We start from the raw sequence: 20,704 nt of genomic DNA, 5'->3' as shown, positions 1-20,704 counted from the left end.
CTGACCGAAACAAAAGATAAGTGTTGGCAAGAGTTTGGAGACATTGGAAACCTTGTACACTGCTACTGAGAATGTAAAATGTCTCTATGTAACCACTATGTAAAAGAGTATACAGTTCCCTAAAAAAGAATTTTTTTTTTCTTTTTTTGCTCTGTCACCCAGGCTGGAGTGCAGTGGCACAAACATAGCTCATGGCAGCCTCAATTTCTTGGGCTCAGGTGATCCTCCCACCTCAGTCTTCCTAGTAGCTGGGATCACAGGCATGCACCACTATGCCTAGCTAATTTTTGTATTTTGTGTAGGGATGGGGTTTCACCATGTTGTCCAGGCTGGTCTTGCACTCCTAGGTTCAAGCAATCCACTCACATCACCCTCCCAAAGTGCTGGGATTACAGATGTGAGCCACCATGCCCAGCCCCTCAAAAGATCAAAAATAGAACTACCATATGATCCAGCAGTTACACTTCTGGGTATATAACCAAAATAACTGAAATAAGGATATCAAAGAATTATCTGTACTCCCATATTTATTACAGCTTTATTCACCATTGCCAAGAGGGGAAAGCAATCTAAATGTCCATCAGTAGATGAATAGAGAAAATATGATATAAACATGCAAAGTAATATTATTCAGCCTTAAAAAAGAAGCAAGTCCCGACATATATAACAACATAGATGATTCCAGGGGACATTATGCTAAGTGAAATAAACCAGTCACAGAATTAGATTTATTGCATGATTCCACTTATATGAGGTGTTTATAATAGTCAAACTCATAGAAAGAGGATAGAATGGTGGTTTCCAAGGGTTGGGCGGAGGGGGAAATGGAGAGTTCCTGTTCAATGATTATAAACTGTCAGTTATGCAAGAAGAATAGCTTCTAGAGATCTTCTATACAATATTGCAATTTATTATATAGAATTTTTTAATGAGTATATCTCATGTTAAGGGTTTTTACAGTAAAAGAAAAATCCAAAGTCCAACAATTTACAACACCTGGCATCTAGTCAAAGATTACCACGCTTAAAAATAAGCAAAAATATGACCCATAATAAAGAGAAAAATCCATTAAGAAAACTGACACAGACATTAGAATTAGCAGACAAGGACATTAAGACAGTTATTATAACTATATTCCATATATTTGAAAAGCTAGAAGAAATATTGACAATGTTAAGACATGGAATATATATATATGACTGGAATCAAATCATAGAGAAAACTATAATATCTGGGATAAAAAACATACTGAATAGGATTATTGGCAAATTAGATATTACAGAAGATAATATGCATCAACTTGAAGTTATAACAATAGAAACTATCCAAGATGATACATACAGAGAAAAAAGACTAAGAAAAAAATAAAGTAATGGAGTATTACTCAACTGTACAACAATTTCAAAAGGCATATATATGGGTAATTAGTGTTCACATATACCAAACCAGGAAACTAAACAAATCTCAAGGATGAGAAACATGAAGAAAACTTCACTAAAGCGTATCATAATTAAATTGTCCAAAACCATTGATAAAGAGAAAATCTAAAAGCAGCCAGAGACAAAAAAACATATTATTTACAGAGAAAAAAATAAGAGTGTCTGCAGATTTCTCACCAGAAATAATGCAAGTGAAAAGCCAGTGGTGCAACGTTTTTAAAAGTATTAAAATAACACACACACACACACACACACACACACACACACACACACATGAACCTATAATCCTATACCCAGAAAAAAAATTTCTAAATGAAGGAGAAATAAAGCCTTTATCACACATACCAAAGCTGACAGAATTTGTCAACTGAAGAACCACAGGGGACTCTAACAGAAGAAAAATTATGCTAGGTGGAAATCCAAATCTACATAAAAGAATGAAGAGTACAGAAAATGGTAACTATGTGACTAAATATGTAAAATGTTTCTTATGTTTTAAGTATCTTTAAAAGATAATTGTTAACAGCAAAAACAACAGTATAGTCTGGGGTTTATAACAAAAGTAGAAGTAAGAATGATGATAAAAATTGCATAAAGTCTGGGAGAAAATAAATGGAAGTATATTATTGTAAAGTTCTTAGTATACATGTAAGTGACATATTATTGCTTGAAGGTAGACTATAATAAGTTTTAGACATGTACCATGAACTCTAAAGAAACTGATAAAAACAAATAAGTAAAACAACAAAGAATTATAGTTAATAAGCCAAAAAAGAAAATAAAATATAATCATTTAAAAAACTCACTTCATCTAAAAGATGACAGTAAAAAATGAAAAACAGAACATAGAACAGATGGCGCTAATAAAAACAAATATCAACATGTTAGAGTGAAAGGTAAATAAAGATCCCAATTGAAAGATTGTCACATTAGATAAAAAGGCAAGACCTAAATATAATGCTGTTACAGGAAACCTGCTTTAAATATTTGAGCACAAAGAGATTAAAAGTAAAAATGTGGCAAAACATAAACCATGAAAATGCTAATCAATAGAAAACTCATGTCACTGGCCATATTAATATCAAGCAAAAATTTCAGCGCAAAGAGTAACACCAGAGATAAAGCAGGTCACTTCATAATGATAATGGGATCAATTTCAACAAGAGGAAATAAAAGTCCTAGATGTTCACGCACCTAATAATAGAACTTCAAAATACATGAAGGAAAAACTCAGAGAATTGCAAAGAGAAATGAAAACATTCACAATTATAGTCAAATATTTTAGTATCCCTTTCTAAATAATTGATAGAACAAGGCTGAGTATGGTGACTCATGCCTGTAATCCCAACACTTTGGGAGGCCATGGTTCAAGGATCATTTGGGCTCAGGAGTTCGAGATCAGCTTGGGCAACATGGTGAAAACCTGTCTCTACAAAAAATTAAAAAAAAAAAAATTAGGCAGATTTGGTGGTGCATGCCTGCGGTCCCAACTACTTGGGAGGCCAAGATGGGAGGGTTGCTTGAGCCTGGGAGGTCAAGGCTGCAGGGAGCCAAGATCATGCCACTGCACTCCAGCCTGGGCAACAGAGTGGGACCCTGTCTCAAAAAACAAAAATAACAGAACAAGTAGATAAAAAGTCAGTAAGGATATAGAAGACTTGAACAACATTATCAACAAACTTGACCTAATCAATATTTATATAATATTTATATGTTATATAACATTTATATATACAAAACAGCAGAAAACACACAGAATATTTACCAAGATAGACCATATCCTAGCAATAAAAATAAGTCTGAAATGTTAAAAGATTTAAGTCATACAGAGTATGTTTTCTGCTTCCATTGGAATTAAATTGGAATTTCATTCCAATATTCAGATACAAAAACGTATCTAGAAAATCTTGTCAATATTTGGAGACTAACACACTTCTAAAAAAAGAAAACCATAGATCAAAAATGTCTTCTTTGAAATTTGCACTGAATGAAATGAAAATGAAATGAAGGAAAATACCACCAAAAGGTGTGTGACACTGCTAGAACAGTATTTGGAGGAAAATGTGTGGCATTAAAGGCTTATATTAAAAAAGCTTTAATCAAAGATCTCAGCTTCCATCTTAAGAGACTAGAAAAAAAGGAGAAAATGAAATCAAAGTAAGCAGAAGGCAGGAAATAATAAAGGTCAGAGCAGGAATTAATGAAATGGAAAACAGGGCAACTGCCTGCAAAAGTTCCCTGACCATGAAGGGAAGTGGATTAGCAGAGTCAGAAAGAGTAAGGCATCACTACATTTGTCACGTTGTAGCAGTCTGATAATAACGTGTTGAACAGGTATGAATGGCGTGGTATGATAGAAGAGCACATGGAGTCTAGCCTGGCCTCCGAGGCTGGCAGTGCCTCTTAATGGCTTTGTGGCCTTAGACACGTCATGTAGCATCCTTGAGTCCCCTGCGAAATGTGGACAATGTTATTTTTCCTGCCTGCCTTGCGGGATCATTGTGAGGTCAAATAAGACAATGTTTGTGAAAGCAATTTAGTAAAACTGCAGTAAACTATGAAGCATAAGTTTTGGTAAGAGAGAATTTGGAATTATTAAATTATAGCTTGGGGATTATATGTGTGGATTTGACTTACACCTATCTTTGTGTTCTTTTATAATGCATAATTAAAATGTCAATGGAGCACTTGGGACAACATAAAATATAGCAGTGTTATGAGCTTAGGGGTGCAAAAGAAATTTAATTATATTATTTTTGTTTATGATCAACCCAGTCTTCCTCACAAACTCCCACCTACAAAGGAGTGAGAAAGAAGCAGTTGTCAACCCCACATTGAACTGATTAGACCATCATTTAAAATAGGCCTTTTAGATTGTGCTTGCCTCTCTTATTTCTGCTCCCTACTCTCTGGGTTATGACAGGAGTGGGGCTCATGGGAATTTGTCCTGGCAGAGTGCCAGGGTTCTCAGATTCACCCTGCATTGTCATTTAGATTTCCGTGGCTGAAGCCCCTTCGTCAGGGCCCCCCACTGGAAAGCCTCCCTAGTCTTGGCCTAGAACCCCGCCAACACAGCGAGCCCTGTGGTGGGTCCAGGGTGGATTGGAGGGCCACTAAATTGGGTTCACTGAAGGCTTTCCAGTCTGCTCCTGGGGGTCAAGGGAACAACTGACTCCAATCCACATGGGACAGGAGCCAGGCTGGCTAGAGAGCTTTCACGTCTCCCCTGTGCTGAACCATTCCACACCACGAAGTTTACATTGCTGGGCCCGGGCTCCCTTTGAGAAGGGGCAGACTGACTCTCTTGCCAGATTTCTGATTAGGACCAGGAATCGAAGCCTCTTCCATCTGGCTCCTCCAAACCTATCTTATTATGTTCCTTTCCCTCTCTGGGCTTCAGTCAGAGAAGGGAAATCAGGACACACTGCTGATCAGTCAGGTTGCTTTCCTACGTGTCTCTGCCTCCTGGTTTCCTCTGACCAGAAAATATTGATTTTTCTTTCTTTTTTATTTCACTGATTCTTATCTTTGCTATACCCAGAGGCCGTGAGGCCTGTGCTAGGTGGAATACACTAACAGGAGCAGGAAGGCCACATAATTCATGAGCCCTGATACAAGATGAAAGGCAAGGCCCTTTTCTCAGAACTTATTACGAATCTCGGGAGGCTCCATGCACGGGTCATGCACTCATAAAGCTGGCCTTGAAAGGGAGCTAGAATAATTTAATAAATCTGGTTCCTGAGTGAAACCTGTGGTCTTGTTGAAGTTTTCCTAAGTATGAGCTCTCTTATACCCTTGGGTGATAAACCTCACAGGAAGAAGGATGCAAGGGAACCAACATCTAAGTTACAAACATTAAAATACATTGGTTTTCCAGGCGTGGTGGCTCAAGCCTGTAATCCCAGTACTTTGGGAGGCCAAGGTGGATGGATCACCTGAGGTCAGGAGTTCGAGACCAGACTGGCCAACATGGTGAAACCCCATCTCTACTAAAAATACAAAAAAATCAGCTAGGCCTGGTGGCATGTGTGTGTAATCCCAGACACTTGGGAGGCTGAGGCAGGAGAATCGCTTGAACCTGGGAGGCAGGGTTGCAGCGAGCCGAGATCACGCACACTGCACTCCAGCCTGGGTGACAGACTGAGACTCATCTCAAAAAAAAAAAAAAAAAAAAAAAGCATTGGGTTAGTCATTGTAAAGGATCTTATCTCTGTGTAGAGGATGTTTAGAGGAGCTTTTCCTATTGTCCTGGTAATTGGACTAATCCTGAGAGGGAAGGGAAATCTTTGTCACACACATTCTCAATCCATGGAGCTGCCCATGAGCCAGTCCCATTTGGGGACAGAGAGCTTTCTTTCAAGGCTGCTCAGACACCAATCATATAGAACTGGTACAGATACCTCCCACCCTAGACAATATAAGAAAAGGGCCAAATGGGAGGAAGCTACCCTGGGTGGAGGCCAGTGTTTATGGAAAATAGGAGCTATTCTCTCCCCTCCACCCTAAAGAAGAGGGACAGGTGGAGAATCAGGAAGAGGTTGGGTAGCCTGGAAGAAGGGCAGCAGCTCCCTGAACTGAAGAACTCACAGTCCCTTCTTGGTGCTGCCCTCAAAGTGGTATGTAAGAGAATTCTTTGTGGGTAGGGGGAGTTTTACATGGTTTCCCTGAAGTTTGAGAGTTGTGGGAAACAGATCAAGGAACACCTGCGTCTGGTCTAGAGATGTGTGAAGGCCTGAGAAAGCAGCTTGTGCCAACAGGGTTTGAAAAGACCATGGTGTGAGGTATCTAGGAAACCCCTCCCCCATACTCATCTCCTCAGCCCTCAGAGGATACAGAAGAGTGCCTCTGAGGACCCTACTACTCCCTGTAAAGGCTCAGGGAAGCTGGTAGACAGCCTTGAGCCATGGGGCTGCCCAGGTGCTACTTACTGGGCCAAGTATTGGGGAATCCAACCCAGAGGAGAATCTAATCACTGGGCAGCCTAAGGAAAACATGGCAGCTCCTTTGGAGGAGTCCTAGTGATAGCGGGGCTTGTGTACAGTTGAACACAATCCCAAGAAGATTATACATGCCATCTTTGCAGAAACCACCACTTCATCAAAGACTACCAGAACACCCAAGAAATAGTGCATATCATAATGAGGCCACAGGCGCAGCCCCAACATGAACATGTGGCTGTGCCTTGAAAGCAAAATCTCTCTTCTCTCCCCGGCAGTTCTCAGTACTAAAGCCAATCCCCTGAGCATCCTGACGCCTGAGGGAGGAGTGAAGAGAATATCAGTAGCAATGTGAGAGTTAGTAGAGAGAGCCCTGGTCACATGACTGCCCGTTAAGGAGGCATTTTTACTTGCTTCCCCAGGTAGTGACACACCTACTCTCCTGCTTCTGCTGTAGCAACAGCAGGTTCATTTGTGCTTTCCTGAGGTGTCAGTGTTTCTTAAACACAATAGGAAATGGCTGTTTCAGACCCTCATGGGTGAAGACCATTTTGGCTCCCTACAAAAGACAAGGCTTTCCGGCCAGGTGCAGTGGCTCACGCCTGTAATCCCAGCACTTTGGGAGGCCGAGGCGGGTGGATCATGAGGTCAGGAGATTGAGACCATCCTGGCCAACGTGGTGAAACTCCATCTCTACTAAAAATACAAAAATTAGCCTGGTATGGTAGTGTGCGCCTGTAGTCCCAGTTACTCGGGAGGCTGAGGCAGAAGAACAGCTTGAACCCAGGAGGCGGACGTTGCAGTGAGCCGAGATCACACCACTGCACTCCGGCCTGGCGACAGAGCAAGACTCCGTCTCAAAAAAAAAGAAAAAAAAGAAAAAAAAAAACCTCAGGGCTTTCCATCTCCACATCAAGTGTCCTAGCAGAGCCGACCGATGGACTCAAGTTACTTTCTTCCAATCAGCTGGAGCTGGAGCAAGGGAGGGTGGAGAGGGTGTTAATAAGGTTAAGGAGTCCTCTTTGGGGAGAACAAGTTCAAGTGACACCTTAGACTTTAGTCAAGTGAACTCTTAAGTTGGGGAATTGTTATGAAAAAATAAAGGAATTAGTGCAATAAAACCACAAACATTAAAATGTAAGAAATTCTCTTAGAAACCCTTCATCCTGCTCCTCCTAACAAACTTAATCCCTCTTTCTAGAGTTACTTTCTAGGGACTACATTAAGTACCTTGGCTCCAACAGAAAAATCAAAAGCCATGTGAGGAGAGAGACGAGCTGTCCTGGGAGCCTGGAAAAGGAAGGTCTAATCGGCAATTTTCCTTTCTCTACCCATGTATTTGGAAAAAATAATGAATCACCTGGTTGTGGGGAAAAAATACACAAACACACACACACACACAGAGAGAGAGAGAGAGAGAGAGAGAAATGTTTTTTAAGGGCTTATTTTTAGAATCCCAGTATTTAGATTCAGTATTCCATATTGACATTAAAAATTTAGTGAAGGCCAAATTTTATACCTCAAAAAACTGTCAATGCCCTCATAAGTGCTATGTGATATTTTCATTGTGACCATAGAATTTTTAACATAGCCACCATAATTTTTGAGAACTAATGTTCTTCCATTTTTGTCCTATTCCTTGTAATGTAGTTTAGCTTGCTTTCTTTGTACACAATCTCATTTTGCCTTCAAACTATAAGGAGCCTTAATCAAATATTAACCAAAGTAAAAAAAACACAGTCTAGAAGCACTAGGATTTCACAACTTAAAGTAAATCGACGTGTTTCGTTGTTGCCTTTTCTGAGATATTCAGCTCAAGTAAATCTCCATGTATACAGTACAATGAATGACTTAAAAACAGCATAGTAGAACATTTGTGGATAACAGTAACAAAAGGAAAAAAGCAATCTCTAAGTGAGCTTTAGCCTGAAGGACATCATTCTGAGTCAGGAGAACTCACTTGCCTTATTACTGGGTGTCTTACCTTCTCTCTATGCCAATTTTCTCATCTTTAAAGTAGAGATACTTACTACTAACTACATGGAGATATTAACAATGTTGAATATTTACTTACCTGAAGTGGTTAGGAGCACAGGGTTTGAAATCAAAGTTTTGCCCTGCTTCTTATTAACCATGTCACCCAGAAAAAATAACCTTCCTAAGCTTTAGTTCCTTCTTATGGAAAATGGGGATAATTATATGTACTTTATGTAGTTTTTATGAGTTAAATGAAATAATTTACATAAAGTCCCTGCCCCATGTTTGACACATTGGTTTTCAGTCTATTGTAGCTGCTGTAATGATGATGCTGATGCTGTAAGTAACGTGTGCTAGATAAACGGAGACGGAGGAGACTGGGCGGGTGAGACAAGGGATGTCAGATTCTGAATCCAAAGCCTTGTTGACTAACAATAAAATTAGGCCAAAGGAAAGACCAGCCATCACAACAAAAGTGACTGCCTATAAGTTAACCACCACAAGTGAAACTGCCTACAAATTAACCACAGAATGGGAGAAAATATTTGAAACTATTCATCAGACAGGGGACTAATATCCAGAATATACAAAAAGTTCAAACAACTCAGCAACAACAACAACAACAACAAACCCAAATAATTCCATTAAAAAGCAGGCCAAGGACACGAATAGACATTTCTCAAAAGAAGACATACAAATGGCCAACAGATATGTGCAAAAAATGTTCAACATTGCTAATCATCAGGGAAATGCAAATGAAAACCATAATGAGATTAGCTTAACCCAGTTAGAATGGCTATTACTACAAAGAAAACATATTAGATGTTGGCAACAATGTGGATAAAAGGAAACTCTTATACACTGTTGGTGGGAATGTAAATTAGTACAACCTCTATAGAAAACAGTATGAAGATTTTTCAAATAGAATTACCATTTGATCCAGCAATCCCACTACTGGGTATCTATCCAAAGGAAAAGTAATCAATATATCAAAGATACCTGCACTCCTATGTTTACCACAGCACTATTTGGAATAGCAAAGATATGGAATCAACCTAAGCATCCATCTACAGATGACTGGATAAAGAAAATGTGGTATATATATACACAATGAAATACTATTCAGACTAAAAAAAAGAATGAAATCCTGTCATTTGCAGCAACATGGATGGAAATGGACATCATTATCTTAAGTAAAATGACTCAGACACTGAAAGACAAATACCGCATGTTTTCACTCTTAAGTGGGTGCTAAAAATGTGTACATATGGCCATAGAGAGTGGGATAACAGACACTGGAGACTCAGGGTGAGGAGATGAGAGGGGTGGATGATGAGAAATTACTTAACGAGTACAACATGTGTTATTTAGGGTGATAGATACCCTAAAATCCCTGACTTGATCACTACACAAGTAACAAAATTGCACTTATATCCCATAAATGTATATAAATTAAAAAATTAACATTAGATTTCAAATAGAGATGGCCACTGCAAGTCATGTGTGAGATACTTGGGAATGAATATTAAGTTCCAATTCCTCCCCTCTTAGGTTTCCCTTACATGCCCACTCTCTATGAAATAATTAAACATGTTAAGAACTGACCTTGGTGAAAGAACAGCATAGTTGGTGTCATGGTCACTAGTCTGAGGACACCTTGATAAGTCCCCAAAGGAGGCTCTATAGGGCTTGGGCAGCTTCTGAGAGGCTGGTCACCTTGTATCTGCCCTGTACCAGGGACAAATGGGAAGCAGAGTACATTTATTACACCTTTAAACTTCAACTGCAAAGCCTAGTGCTTTTTAAGCTATCTGTAGGGAAAGACCCATTTGTTTTTTTTTTAAACCCGTCACAGACCCATGCATGGTACTGCTGTGTATGATCAGTATGTATTGAGTCATGTGGGAGTCACCCTGCAAGTTTGGCATTCTGCACTGGCCGTTGTTTTGTTTAATGAGACAAATCCGCTGATCATTCACTTGGATGTCACATTAATGTCAAATTGCTATGAAAGTTTCTGAATGGTTACTCCCAATTTTTATACTTAAGTTGCAGTCTGGTAACAGATACTTTGGGTGGCACTGTCCTGTCCTATCGTGATCCTATCCCCAAACAAAAAGGATGACAACAGCAGTAAAATTTAATGAGAATAAAATTTCAATCACAAAAAAAAGGACATTTGGAGAGTATTCATACCAACCTGTTTCTACTGTCCTGTGTTTTATATATAATTCTTGGCATCACGGAGTTGAATATTGATGTCAGGCATATCTATTAGTATATTTGAACCCAAGCTCAGCTGCTTACCAGCTCTGTATCTGTTGGATAAGTTTTTCTCTGGGCCTTTGTATCTTCATCTGTAAAATGTGAACCTTCAGACCCACAACAGAGTTAAGATGAAGGTGAAATACCTTGTGTTTGTGAAGTACCTAGCACAGTGCCTAGGTAGGAGCTAGTAAAGAGGTTTGTTTGATATTGTCTATTTTGGAATTTACAGTCTAAACTTTGCAATTTTAGTTGACTCTATATGCAGCTATACACATGGCTTTTCTCTACACTATACACATTGCTTTTCTCCTCTAATTCCAAAATAGCCTTTCCATTTGAGCTTGGACTAGATTCATTATATTTAGATGCAACAATTCTAATTGTACCTTAATTTAAAAGTTCTGGATATCTTCAGGCCTAGTTTTAAGTAAAATATACACTCTAGACAGAATGCTGAAATAAGACAAAGGTTCTCAAAACTTAGTACTGTATAAATAAAAATTTCTTTGGTATCTTGTTAAAATGCAGATTTCCAGATCCAGTCTTTGGCATCTCTGACTCATGACTCAGCTGTTGTTGAGTGAGGCCCTGTTTAAGCAATACCTGGCCCCCACTTGCAGATGATTCTGATGCAGGTGGTTCCTGAATCATACCTTTAAAAAAAACCCACTGTAGCTATAAAAGGGTAGTGTGAGGGATCCCTGTATTGAAACTGTTCTATATCTTGACTGTGGCGGTAAATATATGAACCTATACATGTGATAAAAATTGAGTAGACTAAATACACACATACATACACACCATCTGGATTGTCAATATACCATGGAAGCAGTCCCAGAATTCAGTATTTGGGGCTCCAATAGTCTATATTCTTGATTTTTCTAACCTACCAGTGAAAAACTCAAGACAGTTTTTCTGTATTAAACCAAAAAATTAACCAACTGCTGGCTTAGTCAAGCTGGCTTCATTAGATTTCTATGATGTTTTCTTGGTCATGTATAGAGTTCTACAACTTGAGCCTAAAAATAAAATGCTTTCAATTTTCCATGTGCAGGCACTCCATCATTTTTAGTTAAGTGGATGGATTAAATGTACTGTTTAAGTACACTGGGGAAAGTAAATGCTCCTAAAAGTGAATTGCTTTCTTTACTGAAATAGACTTTTGTTCTTGAAGCCTAGGCAAGACATTCTTTTCTATCAATAATTTAAATCTAACTAAGAACATTCAGGGATTTTGGGCCTCTGCCTTTGGCAGCTGTCATTTTCATGTGAATATGTCAGCTTTTATACAATTAACTTGTATATAATTATGCAAAAAGTAGTTGGAGTTGAATATTTAATGACATCAAGAAATTACTATAAATGTTTTTAGGTAGCATAATAGTATTGCAGCTAGGTATAAGAATAGAATTCTAATCTTTTAAAGAGATATTCTGAAGTATTGATGGTTGAAGTGATGTAATGAAATGAGATTTGCTTCAAAATAATCCAGAAGCAGGGAAGTAGTTAGCAGAATAGATGGAGCAAGATTGCCCAAGGGTTGCCAATTGTTGGAGCTGGATGGTGGGTACATTAGGGTTCACAATACCATACTGGGGGTTCATCATACCCTTTTCTTTACTCTTGCATCCTATTTGAAATGTTTCATATGAAAATATTTTTAAAAGGTAGTCAAAATTAGAAACACCCTTAGTAATATACTTAAGACATAGTCCAATCTTTTGGTTATGTTTATTGCAAAGGTAGGCTAACCCAGCAAATACTTCACGTTTTCATTCAATTTGTCACTGAGTCTCTTATCAGTCCCTGATGGCATGAAGCCCAGCAATGCCCAGTGCAGTAAGCACGTGCCCTCTAAGGCTCTCAACTTTATGACTCGAGTCTTTTTATTTGCGTGTATCATAACAGCCAGGCCCTTTGTTCTGAGATAACCTTCAAAAGAGCAAGACAAATATTTTAGGGAGTACTATTGCTTACATGTTTATTTCCTTTTTGTTTTGTTTTATTCCTCAAGATGCTGAATGTCCCAATGGAATGGATACTGTATATTTTTAAAAATCTCAGTTCATGTAGAAAAAGTGAACTATCTCAAAAACTTCTGTGCTTAGGATTTCTTCCAGGTTTCTTTCCTGTGTAGGGCAGGAGATGGCAGGTAGATGGCCATACCTCAAAGCCCTTACTAATGGACTTGAATCCAGACATGTGGTCCCAACTGCACTCTTTACCCTTTTATAACAACCATTCTGTCGTTTAAAAAACATATTTTCTCTAACTTTGCATTTCTGGTTAATAAATGGTAGCTTGCAGAATAGCTACCCCTTGAGTCATTTTGAAAGTGTACAAAGCTTTTGAAGGCAAAAACAACCAATCAACCAACCAACCACACACATACCACAAATACAACAAAACACAAGAATCACTACAATTTGTCATTTTTTTGCACTTTTTTATTTTTAAAAACTTTTTTTAACAAAGATATGACAAGAAAAAACAATTACATACTGATATCCCTCATGAAATAGATACAAAAAATAAATATATTACCAAATTGAATACAGCAATGTATAAAAAGGATAACACATCATGATCAATTGGAGTTTTTTCCAGAGATGCAAGGTTGATTTACACAGAAAGTCAATTCAATGTTACCCACATTGTTAGCAAAGAGAAAAATAATATGATCATTACAAAAAATACAGAAAAAGTATTAACAAAATTCAACCACTATTTATTATGAAAAGTCTCAGTAAAATAGAAACAGAAGGGGACTTTATCAACCTGATTAACTTTCTCAACCTGTTAACACTACAGTTAACATCATAAACAATGGTGAATCATTGAGTACTTTCTTTTTTTTTTAATTATACTTTAAGCTCTGGGGTACCTGTGCACAACGTGCAGGTTTGTTACATATGTATACATGTGCCATGTTGGTGTGCTGCACCCATTAACTCATCATTTACATTAGATATATCTTCTAATGCTATCCCTTCCCCCTGCCCCCCACTCCATGACAGGCCCCAGTGTGTGATGTTCCCCACCCTGTATTCAAGTGTTCTCATTGTTCAATTCCCACCTATGAGTGAGAACATGTGGTGTTTGGTTTTTTGTCCTTGCGATAGTTTGCTGAGAATGATGGTTTCCAGCTTCGTCCATGTCCCTACAAAGGACATGAACTCATCCTTTTTATGGCTGCATAGTATTCCATGGTGTATATGTGCCACATTTTCTTAATCCAGTCTATCATTGATGGACATTTGGGTTGGTTCCAAGTCTTTGCTATTGTGAATAGTGCCGCAATAAACATATGGGTGCGTGTGTCTTTATAGTAGCATGATTTATAATCCTTTGGGTATATACCCAGTAATGGGATGGCTGGGTCAAATGGTATTTCTAGTTCTAGATCCTTGAGGAATCGCCACACTGCCTTCCACAGTGGTTGAACTAGTTTATAGTCCCACCAACAGTGTAAAAGTGTTCCTATTTCTCCACATCCTCTCCAGCACCTGTTGTTTCCTGACTTTTTAATGATCGCCATTCTAACTGGTGTGAGATGGAATCTCATTGTGGTTTTGATTTGCATTTCTCTGATGGCCAGTGATGATGAGCATTTTTTCATGTGTCTGTTGGCTGCATAAATGTCTTCTTTTGAAAAGTGTCTGTTCACATCCTTTGTGGACTTTTTGATGGGGTTGCTTGATTTTTTCTTTTACGTTTGTTTAAGTTCTTTGTAGATTCTGGATATTAGCCCTTTGTCAGATGGGTAGATTGTAAAAATTTTCTCCCTTTCTGTAGGTTGCCTGTTCACTCTGATGGTAGTTTCTCTTGCTGTGCAGAAGCTGTTTAGTTTCATTAGATCCCATTTGTCAATTTTGGCTTTTGTTGCCATTGCTTTTGGTGTTTTAGACATGAAGTCCTTGCCCATGCCTATGTCCTGAATGGTATTGCCTAGGTTTTCTTCCAGGGTTTTTATGGTTTTAGGTCTAACATTTAAGTCTTTAATCCACCTTGAATTAATTTTTGTATAAGGTGTAAGGAATGGATCCAGTTTCAGCTTTCTACATATGGCTAGCCAGCACCATTTATTAAACAGGGAATCCTTTCCCCATTTCTTGTTTTTGCCAGGTTTGTCAAAGATCAGATGGTTAGTAGATGTGTGGTATTATTTCTGAGGGCTGTGTTCTGTTCCATTGGTCTATATCTCTGTTTTGGTACCAGTACCATGCTGTTTTGGCTACTGTAGCCTTGTAGTATAGTTTGAAGTCAGGTAGCATGATGCCTCCAGCTTTGTTCTTTTGGCTTAGGATTGTCTTGGCAATGTGGGCCTTTTTTGGTTCCATATGAACTTTAAAGTAGTTTTTTCCAATACTCTGAAGAAAGTCAGCTTTCTTTCTGAAGAAAGGTAGCTGATGGGGATGGCATTGAATCTGTAAATTACCTTGGACAGTATGGCCATTTTCATGATATTGATTCTTCCTATCCATGAGCGTGGAATTTTCTTCCATTTGTTTGTATCCTCTTTTATTTCATTGAGCAGTGGTTTGTAGTTCTCCTTGAAGAGGTCCCTCATGTCCCTTGTAAGTTGGATTCCTAGGCATTTTATTCTCTTTGAAGTTATTGTGAATGGGGGTTCACTCATGATTTGGCTCTCCATTTGTCTGTTCTTGGTGTATAGGAATGTTTGTGATTTTTGTACATTGATTTTGTATCCTGAGACTTTGCTGAAGTTGCTTATCAGCTTAAGGAGATTTTGGGCTGAGACAAAGGGGTTTTCTAGATATACAATCATGTCATCTGCAAACAGGGACAATTTGACTTCCTCTTTTCCTAATTGAATACCCTTTATTTCTTTCTCCTGCCTGATTACCCTGGCCAGAACTTCCAACACTATGTTGAATAGGAGTGTGAGAGAGGGCATCCCTGTCTTGTGCCAGTTTTCAAAGGGAATGCTTCCAGTGTTTGCCCATTCAGTATGATATTGGCTGTGGGTTTGCCATAAATAGCTCTTATTATTTTGAGATACGTCCCATCAATACCTAATTTATTGAGAGTTTTTAGCATGAAGAGCTGTTGAATTTTTGTTGAAGGCTTTTTCTGCGTCTATTGAGATAATCACGTGGTTTTTGTCGTTGGTTCTGTTTATATGCTGGATTATGTTTATTGATTTGCATCTGTTGAACGAGGCTTGCATCCCAGGGATGAAGCCCACTTGATCATGGTGGATAAGTTTTTGATGTGCTGCTGGATTCGGTTTGCCAGTATTTTATTGAGGATTTTTTGCATCGATGTTCATCAGGGATATTGGCCTAAAATTGTGTTTTTTTGTTGTGTCTTTGCCAGCCTTTGGTTTCAGGATGATGCTGGCCTCATAAAATGAGTTAGGGAGGATTCCCTCTTTTTCTATTGATTGGAATAGTTTCAGAAGGAATGGTACCAGCTCCTCTTTGTACCTCTGGTAGAATTCGGCTGTGAATCCGTCTGGTCCTGGAGTTTTTCTGGTTGGTAGGCTATTAATCATTGCTTCAATTTCAGCGCCTGTTATTAGTCTATTCAGGGATTCAACTTCTTCCTGGTTTAGTCTTGGGAGGGTGTATGTGTCCAGGAATTTATCCATTTCTTCTAGATTTTTTAGTTTATTTGTGTAGAGGTGTTTATAGTATTCCCTGATGGTAGTTTGTATTTCTGTGGGATTGGTGGTGATATCCCCTTTATCATTTTTTGTTGCGTCTATTTGATTCTTCTCTCTTTTCTTCTTTATTAGTCTTGCTAGCGGCCTATCAATTTTGTTGATCTTTTCAGAAAAACCAGCTCCTGGATTCATTGATTTTTTGAAGGGTTTTTTTATGTCTCTATTTCCTTCAGTTCTGCTCTGATTTTAGTTATTTCTTGCCTTCTGCTAGCTTTGGAATGTGTTTGCTCTTGATTCTCTAGTTCTTTTCATTGTGAGGTTAGGATGTCAATTTTATATCTTTGCTGCTTTCTCTTGTGGGCATTTAGTGCTATAAATTTCCCTCTGCATACTGCTTTAAATGTGTCCCAGAGATTCTGGTATGTTGTGTCTTTGTTCTCATTGGTTTCAAAGAACATCTTTATTTCTGCCTTCATTTTGTTACGTACCCAGTAGTCATTCAGGAGCAGGTTGTTCACATTCCATATAGTTGAACGGTTTTGAGTGAGTTTCTTATCCTGAGTTCTAGTTTGATTGCACTGTGGTCTGAGAGACAGTTTGTTATAATTTCTCTTCTTTTACATTTGCTGAGGAGTGCTTTACTTCCAACTATGTGGTCAATTTTGGAATAAGTGTGATGTGGTGCTGAGAAGAATATATGTTCTGTTGATTTGGGGTGGAGAGTTCTGTAGATGTCTATTAGGTCCGCTTGGTCCAGAGCTGAATTCAATTCCTGGATATCCTTTTTAAATTTCTGTCTTGTTGATCTGTCTAATGTTGAAAGTGGGGTGTTAAAGTCTCCCATTATTATTGCATGGGAGTCTTAGTCTCTTTGTACGTCTCTAAGAACTTGCTTTATGAATCTGGGTGCTTCTGTATTGGTGCATATATATTTAGGATAGTTAGCTCTTCTTGTTGAATTGATCCCTTTACCATTATGTAATGGCCTTCTTTGTCTCTTTTGATCTTTGTTGGTTTAAAGTCTGTTTTATCAGAGACTAGGATTGCAACCTCTGCTTTATGTTGTTTTCCATTTGCTTGGTAGATCTTCCTCCATCCCTTTATTTTGAGCCTATGTTTGTCTTTGCATATGAGATGTGTCTCCTGAATACAGCACACTGATGGGTCTTGACTCTTTATCCAATTTGCCAGTCTGTGTCTTTTAATTGGAGCATTTAGCCCATTTACATTTAAGGTTAATACTGTTATGTGTGAATTTGATCCTGTCATTATGATGTTAGCTGGTTATTTTGCTCGTTAGTTGATGCAGTTTCTTCCTAGCCTGGATGGTCTTTACAATTTGGCATGTTTTTTCAGTGGCTCGTACCGGTTGTTCCTTTCCATGTTTAGTGCTTCCTTCAGGAGCTCTTTTAGGGCAGGCCTGGTGGTGACAAAATCTCTCAGCATTTGCTTGTCTTTAAAGGATTTTATTTCTCCTCCACTTATGAAGCGTAGTTTGGCCTGATATGAAATTCTGGGTTGAAAATTCCTTTCTTTGAGAATGTTGAATATTGGCCCCCACTCTCTTCTGGCTTGTAGAGTTTGTACCAAGAGATCTGCTGTTAGTCTGCTGGGCTTCCCTTTGTGGGTAACCCGACCTTTCTCTCTGGCTGCCCTTAACATTTTTTCTTCGTTTCAACTTTGGTGAATCTGACAATTATGTGCCTTGGAGTTGCTCTTCTCATTGCATTCTCTGTATTTCCTGAATTTGAATGTTGGCCTTCCTTGCTAGGTTTGGGAAGTTCTCCTGGATAATATCCTGCTGAGTGTTTTCCAACTTGGTTCCATTCTCCCAGTCACTTTCAGGTACACCCATCAGACTTAGATTTGTCTTTTTACATAGTCTCATTTCTTGGAGGATTTGTTCATTTCTTTTTACTCTTTTTTCTCTAAACTTCTCTTCTCGCTTCATTTCATTCATTTGATCTTCCATCACTGATACCCTTTCTTCCACTTGATCGAATTGGCTATTGAAGCTTGTGCATGTGTCACGTAGTTCTCGTGCCATGGTTTTCAGCTCCATCAGGTCATTTAAGGTCTTCTCTAGGCTGTTTATTCTAGTTAGTCATTTGTCTAATCTTTTTTCAAGGTTTTTAGCTTATTTTGCAATGGGTTCAAACATCCTCCTTTAGCTCGGAGAAGTTTGTTATTACCGATCACCTGAAGCCTTCTTCTCTCAACTCGTCAAAGTCATTCTCCGTCCAGCTTTGTTCCGTTGCTGGCGAGGAGCTGCATTCCTTTGGAGGAGAAGAGGCGCTCTGATTTTTAGAATTTTCAGCTTTTCTGCTCTGGTTTCTACCCATCTTTGTGGTTTTATCTACCTTTGGTCTTTGATGATGGTAATGTACAGATGGGGTTTTGGAGTGTTTGTCCTTTCTGTTTGTTAGTTTTCCTTCTAACAGTCAGGACCCTCAGCTGCAGATCTGTTGGAGTTTGCTGGAGGTCCACTCGAGACCCTGTTTGCCTGGGTATCACCAGCGGAGGCTGCACAACAGCAGCTTCGTCTCAGAGGGGCACCCGGCCGTGTGAGGTGTCAGTCGGCCCCTACTGGGAGGTGTCTCCCAATTAGGCTACTTGGGGGTCAGGAACCCACTTGAGGAGGCAGTATGTCTGTTCTCAGATCTTTTAAAAGCATTTTTATTGGTGCGTAACAGATGTACATAGTTTTTGAATACATGTGATAATATATTCATATGATCTGTAAATATCAAATCAGTGTACTTGGGATAGCCATCACCATAAGTATTTGTCTTTTCTCTATGGTAGAAATATTTGAATTCTTCTCTTCTAGCTATTTTAGAATGTACAATATATTCTCGTAAACTATAGTTACCCTACTTCTCTTTCAAACACTAGGTCTTATTTCTTCTATCAAACTGTATGTTTTTACCCATTAATTAACTTCTGTTTATCCTTCCTCCCCCATAACCTTCCCAGCCTCTGTAAATTGTTTTATTCTTCCAACAAGAATTCATTGAGAATTTTCTGTGAGTAAAGTTTAAGTACCTTAAGAGTTCCAGCCTATTTGGAGACAAAATATGCATGGTGTTGGAAAAATAGAAATACAATTAAGTAACTTACCCACAGTCTGAAATAAAATAGCCCAAATTATGTCAGTGAGTACTTGGAAAATGAAGTATATGACAAATTATCATAGATTTGAGTTTTAATCACTTAAAAAAACAGAGTTCTGTGGTTTTTTTATATCATTCTTTCAATTAGATACAGTAGTCTCCCAAGAGCCAGGTTATCATTGTCTTGCATTTTAAATTTAAAATGACAATATGCCTGTAATCCCAGCACTTTGTGAGGCCAGGGCAGGTGGATCACTTGAGGCCAGAAGTTAGAGACCAGCCCGGCCAACATGACGAAACCCCATCTGTACTAAAAATACAAAAATTATCCAGTCATGGTGGTCCATGCCTGTAAACCCAGCTACTCAGGAGGCTGAGGCAGGAGAATTGCTTGAACCCCGCAGGCAGAGGTTTCGGTGAGCCAAGATCACACTACTGCACTCCAGCCTGGGCAGCAGAGTGAGACACTGTCTCAAAACAACAACAAACCAATAGCCACTGTTTGCTGAGAGTTGGCTCTACGCTAGGTGCCCCACCATCAATTACATTTTCTCCTCACACTGAACTTGTCAGGTAGGAATTATTACTTGTGATTTATAGATGAAACTCAGTGAGATAAGGAATGTAATAAATGGCATGGGCAGGTTTCAAGCCCAGGCCTGGACTGAAAGCCCACACTGTCTCCTCCTAAATCTCACTCCTCAAGAAGGATGCCAGGCCCATTCTGCAACACAATCCACAAACGGCAGTTTGATCCAGGAAGGGAGGATCCTTGGTTTCTGGCTTTTTGCTTACCAGCATTAAAAGAAGAAGAGGAAGAGGAAGAAAAATCACCCATTTGATATTACCTTTTCTTCTTGCTTGTGGAAACGGCACTTCCCAATTACACCTAGGAAGTCTGTAGTTAAGAACAAGTAATTCCCCAAACCAGTTCTGTGTTTTTTTACTCTTATCATGCAAAGAAACCTTCCAGCAGTCAATAAAAGAGAGAAAAGTAATTAGCAAATGCTAAACATTGATATGCCGTTGGTCCTCCTACTCCCTGAATGCCTGAGTCCTGGAGTGAGGTGTCTCGAATGTGGGACCTTCTGGTGGATGGTGGTGAAATGTTTCATGGAGATTTTATGACACCAAGAGAAGTTGAAATGATTCCATTTACCACCCGGAGGTACCCTCAGGACTCTCTGTCCCAAGACTGTTCTGAGCCCTGTTTTTGGACACCAAAAGTTACACCTCTTGGCAGCATGCATAAGCCATGAATGTTCCCATGGGGGTCTTCGGATAAAGAGCTATGATGTCACACACACACAAAGCCTGGCCATCATTAGCAAATGGATAAAA

General features: G+C 38.9%; 1 protein-coding gene across 14 annotated transcripts in view, besides 1 other annotated feature; it reads left to right on the top strand.

The window, feature by feature from the left end:
* SLC35F4 (solute carrier family 35 member F4) overlaps positions 1-20,704 on the top strand; it is a 419,262-nt gene that overhangs the window by 223,467 nt on the left and 175,091 nt on the right. The window lies entirely within an intron of this gene.
* Positions 5,428-5,960: an enhancer, noted in NCBI's record as "NANOG hESC enhancer chr14:58220473-58221005 (GRCh37/hg19 assembly coordinates)". NCBI's record gives its function as "activates a minimal SCP1, AML or CMV promoter by ChIP-STARR-seq in primed H9 embryonic stem cells {active_cell/tissue: H9 hESC(primed)}" and the evidence as "EXISTENCE:reporter gene assay evidence [ECO:0000049][PMID:30033119]".

The sequence above is a fragment of the Homo sapiens genome, chromosome 14 (genome assembly GCF_000001405.40).
Source record: "Homo sapiens chromosome 14, GRCh38.p14 Primary Assembly".
In the NCBI taxonomy this organism is placed as follows: Eukaryota; Metazoa; Chordata; class Mammalia; order Primates; family Hominidae; genus Homo; species Homo sapiens.
Note: the sequence above shows the minus strand (reverse complement) of the source record. Positions and strands in the feature narration are given on the sequence as shown.